This window comes from Homo sapiens, chromosome X, assembly GCF_000001405.40.
Source record: "Homo sapiens chromosome X, GRCh38.p14 Primary Assembly".
Taxonomy (NCBI): Eukaryota; Metazoa; Chordata; class Mammalia; order Primates; family Hominidae; genus Homo; species Homo sapiens.
In genome coordinates, this window is record NC_000023.11 from 64,534,651 (window position 1) to 64,550,359 (window position 15,709).

Below are 15,709 nucleotides of genomic sequence, written 5' to 3' on the forward strand. Positions count from 1 at the left end.
GGCCCAAGAACACTCTAACATGTTTCTAATTCCTATTTTGATATGACTGTGAGCAGCTCCTCCTCTCTTCATCACTTATCAGAAATCATCACTTTGCCAATGCCACATATCAGCCAGAGAAAATGACTGAATCCCTTTTGCACGGGCTGGAGCAGACCAGGCAGAAATGCTGGCCTTATCATCTGACACCAAGGTATGGCCCTGAGAGTTGAGGTTAGATAAGACAGCTTTGTTCACAAAACAAAAATATTTTGTGTGACTAATAAGCCCTCAGAGAGACAGGATAGAACAGCGATTAAGAGTAAACTGCTAGGTTTGACTTACGCTACTGTGGTATGTGACCTTGGAAAAGGAACGTAGTCTTTTCTCTTTGTATAATGATAGTACCTACAGGATAATTATAGTACCTACAGATTATGAGGTTGTTGTGAAAATTAAAAGAATCATTACATAGAAGGCTCACTGAATCATACTTGACACATTGTAAACACAATATAAATATCTGTTATATATTATCATTATTTTATGGGCCAGGCCCTGTGTTCCTTGCAACATTGTTGCTCCTATAGCTTGAGACAAATAAAATGCATAAATTGAAAGCACATTCTATGTGGAGAAGAGACAAGGCCTGTGTTGGAGTTGTAGTATCATGTGTCAGGTCCAAAGATCAAAGGGAAAGCCAAAGACAAGAGAGGGTGAAAGAGACAAAGACCAAAGATAAAACCAGAGGTGGAAAGCAAGGCAAGTAGAGAGACTATATGGGTCAGGAGATGGGGCAGAAGACACCAACTAGCAGCGGGGTCAGAGCCTAGGAACCGCATCAGACTAGATGAACTGTTTTACTGAAGCAGCAGAAAGTGGTATAATCAGAAGAGCAGTGTAGGGGAATAGAACCTGGATGGAGCTGGGAGAACCTTCCCAAGTGTCAAGGATGAAGAAAGATGAAGAGCTGTGTAAAGGTGTCAAAATCTGCGAAGATCAGGGCATGAGAAGTAGGATGAAGGCATTTGTGTATTTTGGGGTTGAGGGAAGGGTCTGCCAGGGTCTTAGGGCCAGGCCGCATGTGGGGTACAGGCTGGGGTCTAAGCAGGTGGGCTCTGATAAGGAGCAGTAACAGTGATCATGGTAATATTAGCCAATAACTAAGTCTACTAATCACTTGGTATGGGAGCTAAACCCACTCAACAATTATTATGGGCTGGAGAAAGTGGACATGATGGTTGAGCCAGACTGGGGGAGAGGAAGCTGGAAGGACACAAGGCTGGGCCATGAGCTCTGAGATTTTGACTGGGCCTAGGAAAAATTCCTTGACATTGGTCTGAGACAAGACATGCAGTCAGGGTAGGAAGAGATCCAGAAGGAGGCACCTACCTGCACTGATTGTCTAGGGACCCATGCTCTTTGACAGAAGTGATATCAATCAGAAAGGGCCCTGCTTGTTCCCATGGGCAGGCTGGCACTTCCCCAGAGAAAGACCAGGAGTTGAGGTTGTGGTGATGCTATCAGTAAAGAACTGACTGGAAATGAGAAACAGGAAGGCAGGTATCTACATGGACAAATTCAGAGAGGTATATACACATAGAAACAGTGTGTTGGAGAGGAAAAGATCACTTGACCTGTAATATGTCATGCCTGTGGTGGAATATAAGGCTCTGTGACCTTAGGCAAGTTGTTTAGCCTTTCTGGGCTTCTGTTCCTTTCTTGTCATACAGGAGCCAAGAGTCATGCTTCTCTCATGAGCCTCTTGTGAAGGTGAAATGATATGGTGCCTGTGAAGCACATAGCATGGCATCTGATGTAGAGTGAATGTAAGATGAATACTAGTTATCATTATCATCAGTATTATTACTATACTCTCAAACAGAGGGCATCAGGACTATGCTCCCACAAGTTCCATTCTAGAGGAAAATAAAATCAGACCTGGGCAAGGACAAAATGAAATCTTTGAAGCTGCCAGGAGCAAACAGAAATCCGTTCCTGGCAGGACCAGGGATTTATTTATTTTACCAGGGATGGCTCACATTAAAATTGTCCTCATTTCTGTGTGTGGACTTCTGTGCAGTCTATAGCCCTCTGATCTACTGGCTGAGCTATTGAATGGCGCACCTTTGGGTGGACTTCCAAAAGAGCCTATAACCCCATGGCCACTGTTCCGCATTATCTCTGCCTCTTTATCCTGATCTTCTTGGGTTCTGGGGAAAAGAGGAAGTACTTGGCCTTGATCATGTATGTCAGCAGCCTGAAAGGAATGGATGGGGTTCTCCCATGACTAACATACACACACACACACCCTAAACAGACAAAGAGAGAGCAGAGCCTGAGCTCTATAGGGTATGAGTCATCTCCATGGGCTGAAATGGAGTGGAAATTAAACTGACTACAAATTCAATGGCCAAAGAACTATTTTTATCTATACCTGTTTTATCTATACAACAGAGCCTATACCTGTTGTATCTTGGCTCTGGAAACTACATTTGTACAGAAATAGAGGAAGAATCTGGAGCTTTTAGGATGGGTAAAATGATGAAAAGACTTACTCAGGTTTTAGAGAGAGAGAAAAAAATAATGTCCAGAAGGATAAGACCACCTTATGCAAATGTAGATTTTGATCTTGTCCTCAAAAGATGAACTGTGACAAAGAGACAAAGAGGTTAAAAGGGGCAGCCATTTAGAACTAGTGAGGGAAGCTTAAAAATCAGTCAGAATTCGAGGATGATTCATGTGGGATCTCCACTTAAGGGACTGGTGGTTTGAAGCCAAATATGCCTTAGCTGGTCTTCCCCTTCCCCGCTTTGTCCTTTTGTATATATACACACACAGAAGATACAAAAATCATTCATATTTTTATATATATATATATACATACATATATAAAAATGATTTTCAAAGAAATAATATAATAATGGAAATTAAAAAGAAAATTCAATGGACATATACAAAAGAAATGAACCACTGAACAGATTTGAAGAAATAGCCTAGGATACAACATAGATAGCACAGAGATGGAAAATATAAATGAGAGACAAAGAAAGTAGAGTGAGATGTTGTAATATACATCTAATTGGATTTCCATAAAAAGACAATAGAAATATTTTTTGAATTGAGGAAATGCAGCTGTAGTTGAATTCAGATAGCCTAATTGATCCTAAGCAAACATTCTAAGATGTCTCACCCTAGAACCATTATGGTGAAACTGTAGAACCCCAAAGACAAAGAAAAAAAAATCATTAAAAAGAACCAAAAAAGATGGATTACTTACTCAGGAATAATAATTAGATTGACAATTTACTTCTCATAACAATGAAAATGAGAAAAAATAAATTTATATTACCAATGTGTTGAAAAAGAATAATTGTCAATTAGGAATTCTATACCTGGTAAACTGTCTTTAAAGAATGAAGGAAAAATAAAGCCATTTTTAACCAAACCAAACCAAGCCAAAAAGAAAACTGAGATGGTCTGTCATAAAGAGACTTTTGCTACAGGAAATTCTAAAGGATACATTTGAGTCAGAAAGATACCCCAGATGGAAAGCCTGAGATGCAAGAAAGAAGGATGGGTAAAATAAGAATGTAAATATGTGAGCAGATGTTTAACTACTGACTGAATGAAATATTGATAATAATGTCTAATTTGTGGGGTTAAAAAAGATAACTAAAATACTAAGAAGAAAAGCATATATATTGGTATGCAGTAAATAGAGCTAAGATTTTCTGTGGCTTCTGTATTTTTCTGGATGAGTATATGAATGTTTTTATTATTATTATTATTATTATTATTATTATTATACTTTAAGTTTTAGGGTACATGTGCACAATGTGCAGGTTAGTTACATATGTATACATGTGCCATGTTGGTGTACTGCACCCATTAACTCATCATTTAGCGTTAGGTATATCTCCTAATGTTATCCCTCCCCCCTTCCCCCACCCCACAACAGTCCCCAGAGTGTGATGTTCCCCTTCCTGTGTCCATGTGTTCTCATTGTTCAATTCCCACCTATAAGTGAGAACATGCGGTGTTTGGTTTTTTGTACTTGCGACAGTTTACTGAGAATGATGATTTCCAGTTTCATCCATGTCCCTACAAAGGACATGAACTCAACATTTTTTATGGCTGCATAGTATTCCATGGTGTATATGTGCCACATTTTCTTAATCCAGTCTATCGTATGGATATTTGGCTTGGTTCCAAGTCTTTGCTACTGTGAATAGTGCTGCAATAAACATATGTGTGCATGTGTCTTTATAGCAGCATGATTTACAGTCCTTTGGGTATATACCCAGTAATGAGATGGCTGGGTCAAATGGAATTTCTAGTTCTAGATCCCTGAGGAATCGCCACACTGACTTCCACAATGGTTGAACTAGTTTACAGTCCCACCAAATGTTGATTTTTTTTTAACTTTGTTAAGCATACATGTTAAATGTTCTAGATAAAGTGATTGCTAAAAGCAAAAACAAACAAACAAACAAACAAAAAAGAGTGTGCTTCCAAAGTAGTAAAGAGAAAAAAGAAAACGGGTAATATAAATGAAAAAGGAAAATTTTCTCCCATTTTTTAGGTTGCCTGTTCACTCTGATGGTAGTTTCTTTTGCTGTGCAGAAGCTCTTTAGTTTAATTAGATCCCATTTGTCAATTTTGGCTTTAAGAAAATTTTCAGAACCTACTCATCTGACAAAGGGCTAATATCCAGAATCTACAATGAACTCCAACAAATTTACAAGAAAAAAACAAACAACCCCATCAAAAAGTGGGCAAAGGACATGAATAGACATTTCTCAAAAGAAGACATTTATGCAGTCAAAAAACACATGAAAAAATGCTCACCATCACTGGCCATCAGAGAAATGCAAATCAAAACCACAATGAGATACCATCTCATACCAGTTAGAATGGCAATCATTAAAAGTCAGGAAACAACAGGTGCTGGAGAGGATGCGGAGAAATAGAAACACTTTTACGCTGTTGGTGGGACTGTAAACTAGTTCAACCATTGTGGAAGCCAGTGTGGTGATTCCTCAGGGATCTAGAACTAGAAATACCATTTGACCCAGCCATTCCATTACTGGGTACATACCCAAAGGACTATAAATCATGCTGCTATAAAGACACATGCACACGTATGTTTATTGCGGCACTATTCACAATAGCAAAGACTTGGAACCAACCCAAATGTCCAACACTGATAGACTGGATTAAGAAAATGTGGCACATATACACCATGGAATACTATGCAGCCATAAAAAATGATGAGATCATGTCCTTTGTAGGGACATGGATGAAATTGGAAATCATCATTCTCAGTAAACTATCGCAAGGGCAATAAACCAAACACAGCATGTTCTCACTCATAGGTGGGAATTGAACAATGAGAACACATGGACACAAGAAGGGGAACATCACACTCTGGGGACTGTTGTGGGGTGGAAGGAGGGGGGAGAGATAGCATTAAGAGATATACCTAATGTTAAATGACGAGTTAATGGGTGCAGCACACCAGCACGGCACATGTATACATTTGTAACTAACCTGCACATTGTGCACATGTACCCTAAAATTTAAAGTATAATAATAATAAAATAAAAAAAAGAAAAGGGAAAGGTAGAAAAAGTGGGTTAAAGAGAAATTCCAAAATAAGATGGTAAAAATAAATTCAAATATATCAGTAATAACAAGTGTACTAAATTATCCATGTAAAAGACAGTTTGTTCAAAATGGAAAAAATCTATCTATATTCTGTTACAAAGGACATATTTAAACATAGTAATATAGAGAGACTGGCTGTAGGAAAAACAGTGGAGAAAAAAGTACTAGGTAAATACTAACTGACAGAAAGCTGGTGTAGCTATATTAATGGCAAACCAAATAGACCAAGGCAAAAAGCATTACTAGAAATAAAGCCACTACATAATTGTAATAGATTTAATTTACTTTGAAGGTACAACAATTTTACATGTATCTAATAACACAGCTTTAAATATTTATATTAGAAAGTAAGGAAGGCTGAAAATTAAGATGTTGAGCATATCTTATTAAATCAAAAAAGACCAGTGGAATTAAAGCAAGGAAAATAAAAAGAATGAGTGGTGGCTCATGCCTGTAATCCCAGCATATTGGAAGGCTTAGGCGGGCAGATTGCTTCAGCCCAGAAGTCTGAGACCAGCCTGGGGAACATGGCAAAACTCTGTCTCTACAAAAAATACGAAAATCAGCCAGGTGTGTTGGAGCCCAATTTAGTCTCAGCTACTTGGGAGGCTGAGGTAGGAGGATTGCCTAAGCCCAGGGAGGTCAAGGCTGCAGTGAGCTGTGATTGTGCCACTGCACTCCAGCCTGGGCAAAAGAGTAAGACACTGTCTGAAAATAAATAAAAATTAAAGAAAGAAAGAAAGAAAGAAAGAAAGAAAGAAAGAAAGAAAGAAAGAAAAATGTCAGTAATCACAAGTGAAATAGAAAATAAATATATGTCAAAGAATATTAACTGAGCCAAAAGATGATGCGCTGAAAATGTTAGTAAACCCCTGGCAAGTATTCTCAATGAAAAAGCAAAACAACAACAATGACAACAAAACATGGCTTGGCAGGATGATGCATGCCTAAGATCTCAACATTCTGGGAGTTTGAGGTGGGAGGATTGCTTGAGCCCAGGAGTTAGATATCAGACTGGGCAACATGGAGAGATCCTGTCTCTACAAAAAGTTTAAAAATTGGCCTTGTGCGGTGGCTCATGCCTGTAATCCCAGCACTTTGGGAGGCCGAGGCAGGTGGATTACCTGAGGTCAGGAGTTCAAGTCAAGCCTGGCCAACATGGTGAAACCCCGTCTCTACTAAAAATACAAAAATTAGCCAGGCGTGGTGACAGACGCCTGTAATCCCAGGTACTCTGGAGGCTGAGGCAGTAGAATCACTTGAGCCCAGGAGGTGGAGGTTGCAGTGAGCCAAGATTGCGCCATTGCACTCCAGCCTGGGCGATGGAGCGAGACTCTGTCTCCAAAACAACAACAACAAAAAATTTAAAAAATTTAGCAGGTTGTGGCAGCACATGCTGATAGTACCAGCTGCTCGAGAGGCTGAGATGGGAGGATCAGTTTAGCCTGGGAGTTTGAGGATGCAGTGAGCCATGATCTCACTACTGCACTTCAGCCACTCCAGCCTGGGTGACAGAGCCAGACCCTGTCTTAAAAGAAAAAATAAAAAGAGCAGGAGAGAGAAAGCACAGTATTAAAAATAAGAAAAGGTACATGCCTACAAGGTCTGCAGAGGTTATAAAGATACTAAGAGGACACTATAAACAATATAAACATTTTTTTCTATAAAGACAGAACTTGCCAAAAGTGATTCAAAGAGAAATTAAAACCTTGACTAATTATTCAATAATTTTTAAAATGATCTGGTAGTGGAAAAAACATCCTTAATAGACATTAGGCAGAGATAGTTTAAAGGCAATTTGAAAAACTGGTAATTCCAACCTTATAAATACTCTTCTAGAATACAGGAAAAGAGGGAATAATTTCCAACTTTTTTTTTTTTTAAGAAAAGGCCTCGCTCTGTCACCTAGACTGGAGTGCAGTGGTGTGATCATGCTCTCTGTAGCCTAGTACTCCCAAGCTGAAGTGATCTTCCCACATCAACCTCCCAACTAGCTGGTACTTCAGGCACCTGCCACCACGCCTGGCTAATTTTTTTTATTTTTATTTTCTGTACAGACGAGGTTTCACCATGTTGCCTTGGCTGGTCTCAAACTCCTGGGCTCAATGGATCCTCCTGCCTTGGGCCTCCCAAAGTGCTGGGATTACAGGCATAAGCTATCATGCCTGGCTCCCAGCTGTTTTTATGAGACTAGCTTAAACTTGGTACAAAAACCAAACAATAACTAAATGACAAAGGAAAACCCACGGATCATTTAACTTTTGAATATGAATGCAACAATCCAGCAATATATGACAAAAGAAAAGATCAAAGTGGGTTTAGCCCAGGAATGCAGGAATAGTGTTACTTTGAAAAATCTGGTAATGTATTTCACATTAGCAGATCAAAGCCGAGGGATAAACTATGTGATCGCTCTAAGAGATACAGAGAAAGCATATAATAAAATTCAACATTCTTTCATGGTGACTAAAAAAAAAAAAAAAGTAGCAGGCCAGACTCAGTGGATCATGCCTGTAATCCTAGCATTTTGGGAGGTCAAGGTGGGCAGATCGCTTGAATTCAAGAGTTCAAGACCAGTCTGGGCAACATGGTGAAACGCTGTCTCTATAAAAAATACAAAAAATGTGGCCAGGTTTGGTGGTTGCATGTCTGTAGTCCCAGCTACTTGGGATGCTGAGGTGGGAGGATGGCTTGAGCTTGGGAGGCAGATGTTTCAGTGAGCTGAGATTGTGCCACTGTACTCCCACCTGGGAGCAAGACACAGTCAAAAAAAAAAAAAAAAAAAAAAACCTTAGCAAACTAGAAATAGAACGGAACTTCCTTGAGCTAATAGAGAATAACCATTAAAAAACCCTACAAGCAATATCATTACTTAATGGTGAAATATTTTTATTTCTATTTTTAATTAATTCATTAGACAGGGTCTTGCTCTGTTGCCCAGGATGGATTGCAGCAGTAAAGACAGCTCACTGCAGCATCAACCTCCTGGGGTGAAGTGATCCTCTGCCTCAGCCTCCCTCATAGCTGGAATCACAGGTATGCAACACACCCAGCTAATTCCTTTATTTTTTGTAGAGATGGGAGTGTCACATCATTGCCCAGGCTGGTCTCTTACTCCTGGGCTCAAGCAATCCTCCAGCCTTTGCCTCCCAAATAAACCGCCAAAAGGCCAATGGTGAAATCTTAAAAGTGTTCACATTACTATCAGAGAAAAGCAAGAAATAAACAAAACTGTTATTATAGACACAGAGATAAATGTCCATGTAGAAAATGCCCCAAATTATTGACAAATTATTATAATCAGTAAGTTATTTTGTAACAAGATGGAAGGGGGGAAAATTAATGCCTAAACTGTAACACACTTCTCAATCTCAGTGCAAAACTGAAAACATAATTTTTAAAAGATAATTTACAAATGTGGTAATAAATGCAAAGGTAGTAGGAATAAATTTAACAAAAGATGTATACGATGTTTGTGTATGGCATGAGAAAATTTTTTTTAATTTCTTTTTTTTAATTTTATTATTATTGTACTTTTAGTTTTAGGGTACATGTGCACAATGTGCAGGTTAGTTACATATGTATACATGTGCCATGCTGGTGTGATGCACCCATTAACTCGTCATTTAACATTAGGTATATCTCCTAATGCTATCCCTCCCCCCTCCTCCCACCCCACAACAGTCCCCAGAGTGTGATGTTCCCCTTCCTGTGTCCATGTGTTCTCATTGTTCAATTCCCACCTATGAGTGAGAACATGTGGTGTTTTTATTTGTCCTTGCAATAGTTTACTGAGAATGATGATTTCCAATTTCATCCATGTCCCTACAAAGGATATGAACTCATCATTTTTTATGGCTGCATAGTATTCCATGGTGTATATGTGCCACATTTTCTTAATCCAGTCTATCATTGTTGGACATTTGGCTTGGTTCCAAGTCTTTGCTATTGTGAATCATGCCGCAATAAACATACGTGTGCATGTGTCTTTATAGCAGCATGATTTATAGTCTTTTGGGTATATACCCAGTACTGGAATGGCTGGGTCAAATGGTATTTCTAGTTCTAGATCCCTGAGGAATCACCACATTGACTTCCACAACGGTTGAACTAGTTTACAGTCCCACCAACAGTGTAAAAGTGTTCCTATTTCTCCACATCCTCTCCAACACCTGCTGTTTCCTGACTTGTTAATGACTGCCATTCTAAATGGTGTGAGATGGTATCTCATTGAGGTTTTGATTTGCATTTCTCTGATGGCCAGTGAAGGTGAGCATTTTTTCATGTGTTTTTTGGCTGCATAAATGTCTTCTTTTGAGAAATGTCTGTTCATGTCTTTCGTCCACTTTTTCATGGGGTTGTTTGTTTTTTTCTTGTAAATTTGTTGGAGTTCATTGTAGATTCTGGATATTAGCCCTTTGTCAGATGTGTAGGTTGCAAAAATTTTCTCCCATTCTGTAGGTTGCCTGTACAATCTGATGGTAGTTTCTTTTGCTGTGCAGAAGCTCTTTAGTTAAATTAGATCCCATTTGTCAATTTTGGCTTTTGTTGCCATTGCTTTTGGTGTTTTAGACATGAAGTCCTTGCCCATGCCTATGTCCGGAATGGTAATGCCTAGGTTTTCTTCTAGGGTTTTTATGGTTTTAGGTCTATCATTTAAGTCTTTAATCGATGTTGAATTAATTTTTGTATAAGGTGTAAGGAAGGGATCCAGTTTCAGCTTTCTACATATGGCTAGCCAGTTTTCCCAGCACCATTTATTAAATAGGGAATCCTTTCCCCATTGCTTGTGTTTCTCAGGTTTGTCAAAGATCAGATAGTTGTAGATATGTGGCATTATTTCTGAGGACTCTGTTCTGTTCCATTTATCTATATCTCTGTTTTGGTACCAGTACCATGCTGTTTTGGTTACTGTAGCCTTGTAGTATAGTTTGAAGTCAGGTAACATGATGTCTCCAGCTTTGTTCCTTTGGCTTAGGATTGACTTGGCGATGCGGGCTCTTTTTTGGTTCCATATGAACTTTAAAGTAGTTTTTTCCAATTCTGTGAAGAAAGTCATTGGTAGCTTGATGGGGATGGCATTAAATCTATAAATTACCTTGAGTGGTATGGCCATTTTCACGATATTGATTCTTCCTACCCATGAGCATGGAATGTTCTTCCATTTGTATCCTCTTTTATTTCATTGAGCAGTGGTTTGTAGTTCTCCTTGAAGAGGTCTTTCACATCCCTTGTAAGTTGGATTCCTAGGTATTTTATTCTCTTCAAAGAGAATTAAATTGTGAATGGGAGTTCAGTCATGATTTGACTCTCTGTTTGTCTGTTATTGGTGTATAAAAATGTTTGTGATTTTTGCACATTGATTTTGTATCCTGAGACTTTGCTGAATTTGCTTATCAGCTTAAGGAGATTTTGGGCTGAAACAATGGGGTTTTCTAGATATACAATCATGTCATCTACAAACAGGGACAATTTGACTTCCTCTTTTCCTAATTGAATACCATTTATTTCCTTCTCCTGCCTGATTGCCCTGGCCAGAACTTCCAACACTATGTTGAATAGGAGTGGTGAGAGAGGGCATCCCTGTCTTGTGCCAGTTTTCAAAGGGAATGCTTCCAGTTGTTGCCCATTCACTATGATATTGGCTGTGGGTTTGTCATAGATAGCTCTTATTATTTTGAGATACGTCCTATCAGTACCTAATTTATTGAGAGTTTTTAGCATGAGGGGTTATTGAATTTTGTCAAAGGCCTTTTCTGCATCTATTGAGATAATCATGTGTTTTTTGTCTTTGGTTCTGTTTATATGCTGGATTAAAGTTATTGATTTGTGTATATTGAACCAGCCTTGCAACCCAGGGATGAAGCCCACTTGATCATGGTGGATAAGCTTTTTGATGTGCTGCTGGACTCAGTTTGCCAGTATTCTATTTAGGATTTTTGCATCAATGTTCATCAAGGATATTGGTCTAAAATTCTCTTTTTTGGTTGTGTCTCTGCCCGGCTTTGGGATCAGGATGATGCTGGCCTCATAAAATGAGTTAGGGAGGATTCCTTCTTTTTCTATTGATTGGAATAGTTTCAGAAGGAATGGTACAAGTTCCTCCTTGTACCTCTGGTAGAAGTCGGCTGTGAATGCATCTGGTCCTGGACTTTTTTGATTGGTAAGCTATTGATTATTGCCACAATTTCAGATCCTGTTATTGGTCTATTCAGAGATTCAACTTCTTCCTGGTTTAGTCTTGGGAGGGTGTATGTGTCGAGGAATTTATCCATTTCTTCTAGACTTTCTAGTTTATTTGCGTAGAGGTGTTTGTAGTATTCTCTGATGGTAGTTTGTATTTCTGTGGGATCAGTGGTGATATCCCCTTTATCATTTTTTATTGCATCTATTTGATTCTTCTCTCTTTTCTTCTTTATCAGTCTTGCGAGCAGTCTATCAATTTTGTTGATCCTTTCAAAAAACCAGCTCCTGGATTCTTTAATTTTTTGAAGGGTTTTTTTTTTTGTCTCTATTTCCTTCAGTTCTGCTCTGATTTTAGTTATTTCTTGCCTTCTGCTAGCTTTTGAATGTGCTTGCTCTTGCTTTTCTAGTTCTTTTAATTGTGATGTTAGGGTGTCAATTTTGGATCTTTTCTGCTTTCTCTTGTTGGCCTTTAGTGCTATTAATTTCCCTTGACACAATGCTTTGAATGTGTCCCAGAGATTCTGGTATGTTGTGCCTTTGTTCTCATTGGTTTCAAAGAACATCTTTATTTCTGCCTTCATTTTGTTATGTACCCAGTAGTCATTCAGGAGCAGGTTGTTCAGTTTCCATGTAGTTGAGCGGTTTTGAGTGAGATTCTTAATCCTGAGTTCTAGTTTGATTGCACTGTGGTCTGAGAGACAGTGTGTCATTATTTCTGTTCTTTTACATTTGCCGAGGAGTGCTTTACTTCCAACTCTGTGGTCAATTTTGGAATAGGTGTGGTGTGGTGCTGAAAATAATGTATATTCTGTTGTTTTGGGGTGGAGAGTTCTGTACATGTCTATTAGGTCCGCTAGGTGCAGACCTGAGTGCAATTCCTGGATATCCTTGTTTACTTTCTGTCTCGTTGATCTGTCCAGTGTTGATAGTGGGGTGTTAAAGTCTCCCATTTTTATTGTGTGGGAGTCTAAGTCTCTTTGTAGGTCACTCAGGACTTGCTTTATGAATCTGGGTGCTCCTGTATTGGGTGGATATATATTTAGGATAGTTCGCTCTTCTTGTTGAATTGATCCCTTTACCATTATGTAATGGCCTTCTTTGTCTCTTTTGATCTTTGTTGGTTTAAAGTCTGTTTTATCAGAGATTAGGATTGCAACCCCTGCCTTTTTTTGTTTTCCATGTGCTTGGTAGATCTTCCTCCATCCTTTTATTTTGAGCCTATGTGTGTCTCTGCACATGAGATGGGTTTCCTGAATACAGCACATTTATGGGTCTTGACTCTTTATCCAATTTGCCAGTCTGTGTCTTTTAATTGGAGCATTTAGTCCATTTACATTTAAAGTTAATATTGTTATGTGTGAATTTGATCCTGTCATTATGATGTTAGCTGGTTATTTTGTTCGTTAGTTGATGCAGTTTCTTCCTAGACTTGATGGTCTTTACAATTTGGCATGATTTTGCAGCGGCTGGTACTGTTTGTTCCTTTCCATGTTTAGTGCTTCCTTCGGGAGCTCTTTTAGGGTGGGCCTGGTGGTGACAAAATCTCTCAGCATTTACTTGTCTGTAAAGGATTTTATTTCTCCTTCACTTATGAAGCTTAGTTTGGCTGGATATGAAATTCTGGGTTGAAATTTCTTTTCTGGCTTGTAGAGTCTCTGCTGAGAGATCCACTGTTAGTCTGATGGGCTTCCCTTTGTGCGTAACCCGACTTTTCTCTCTGACTGCCCTTAACATTTTTTCCTTCATTTCAACTGTGGTGAATCTCACAATTATATGTCCTGGAGTTACTCTTCTTGAGGAGTATCTTTGTGGCATTCTCTGTATTTCCTGAATCTGAATGTTTGCCTGCCTTGCTAGATTGGGGAAGTTCTCCTGGATAATATCCTGCAGAGTGTTTTCCAACTTGCTTCCATTCTCCCCTTCACTTTCAGGTACACCAACCAGACATAGATTTGGTCTTTTCACAGAGTCCCATATTTCTTGGAGGCTTTGTTCATTTCTTTTTACTCTTTTTTCTCTAAACTTCCCTTCTCGTTTCGTTTCATTCATTTCATCTTCCATCACTGATACCTTTTCTTCCAGTTGATCACATCGGCTCCTGAGGCTTCTGCATTCTTCACGTAGTTCTTGAGCCTTGGCTTTCAGCTCCATCAGCTCCTTTAAGCACTTCTCTGTATTGGTTATTCTAGTTATACATTTGTCTAAATTTTTTTCAAAGTTTTCAACTTCTTTTCCTTTGGTTTGAATTTCCTCCTGTAGCTCGGAGTAGTTTGGTCCTCTGAAACCTTCTTCTCTCAACTCGTCAAAGTCATTCTCCATCCAGCTTTGTTCCGTTGCTGGTGAGGAACTGCATTCCTTTGGAGGAGGAGAGGCACTCTGCTTTTTAGAGTTTCCAGTTTTTCTGCTCTGGTTTTTTCCACATCTTTGTGGTTTTATCTACTTTTTGTCTTTGATGATGGTGACATACAGATGGGTTCTTGGTGTGGATGTCCTTTCTGTTTGTTAGTTTTCCTTCTAACAGACAGGACCCTCAGCTGCAGGTCTGTTGGAGTTTGCTAGAGGTCCACTCAGACCCTGTTTGCCTGGTTATCAGCAGCACTGGCTGCAGAACAAGGGATATTCGTAAACCGCGAATGCTGCTGTCTGATCGTTCCTCTGGAATTTTTGTCTCAGAGGAGTACCCGCCCGTGTGAGGTGTCAGTCTGCCCCTACTTGGGGGTTCCTCCCAGTTAGGCTATTCGGGGGTCAGGGGTCAGGGACCCACTTGTGTAGGGCGTCTGCTTGTTCTCAGATCTCCAGCTGCATGCTGGGAGAACCACTGCTCTCTTCAAAGCTGTCAGAGAGGGACATTTAAGTCTGCAGAGTTTATTGCTGTCTTTTTGTTTGTCTGTGCCCTGCCCCCAGAGGTGGAGCCTAAGGAGGCAGGGTGGCCTCCTTGAGCTGTGGTGGGCTCCACCCAGTTCGAGCTTCCTGGCTGCTTTGTTTACCAAAGCAAGCATGGGCTATAGTGGGCGCCCCTCCCCCAGCCTCATTGCCGCCTTGCAGTTTGATCTCAGACTGCTGTGCTAGCAATCAGCGAGACTCCGTGGGCATAGGACCCTCCAAGGCAGGTGGGGGATTTAATCTCCTGGTGTTCCACTTTTTAAGCCCATTGAAAAAGTGCAGTATTAGGGTGGGAGTGATGGATTTTGCAGGTGCCATCTGTCACCCCTTTCTTTGACTAGGAAAGGGAACTCCCTGACCCCTTGCACTTCCCGAGTGAGGCAATGCCTCACCCTGCTTCGGCTCGTGCATGGTGCGCTGCACCTACTGTCCTGCACCCACTCTCTGGCACTCCCTAGTGAGATGAACCCGGTACCTCAGATGGAAATGCAGAAATCACCTGTCTTCTGCATCTCTCCCACTGGGAGCTGTAGACTGGAGCTGTTCCTATTCGGCCATCTTGGCTGCCTGATCCAGGCATGAGAAAAATTTTATTGAAAGACATTAAAGGCTGTGCACAGTGGCTCATGCCTATAATCCCAGTATTTTGGGAGGACAAGGCAGGAGGATCACTTGAGGACAGGAGTTCGAGACCAGCCTGGGCAAGATAGCAATATCTCACCTCTACAAAATAATTTAAAATTAGCCAGGCATTGTGGCATGTTCCTGCCATCTCAGCTACTCAGAAGGTTGAGGTGGGAGGATTACTTGAGCCTGGGAGGTTGAGGCTGCGGTGAGTCATGATTATGCCAGTGCACTTCAGCTTGGGCAACAGAGCAAGACCCTGTCTCAAAAAAAAAAAAAAAAAAAAAAGACAGACATTAAAGAAGAGCTAAATGTAGGGAGACATGTAACATCCTCATGGAAAGAAAAAAACTATTTCATAGAGATG

The 15,709-nt window shown here is 40.0% G+C and overlaps 2 annotated features.

Moving 5' to 3' along the window:
- Positions 14,402 to 14,902: an enhancer, noted in NCBI's record as "H3K4me1 hESC enhancer chrX:63768932-63769432 (GRCh37/hg19 assembly coordinates)". NCBI's record gives its function as "activates a minimal SCP1, AML or CMV promoter by ChIP-STARR-seq in naive H9 embryonic stem cells {active_cell/tissue: H9 hESC(naive)}" and the evidence as "EXISTENCE:reporter gene assay evidence [ECO:0000049][PMID:30033119]".
- Positions 14,903 to 15,403: an enhancer, noted in NCBI's record as "H3K4me1 hESC enhancer chrX:63769433-63769933 (GRCh37/hg19 assembly coordinates)". NCBI's record gives its function as "activates a minimal SCP1, AML or CMV promoter by ChIP-STARR-seq in naive H9 embryonic stem cells {active_cell/tissue: H9 hESC(naive)}" and the evidence as "EXISTENCE:reporter gene assay evidence [ECO:0000049][PMID:30033119]".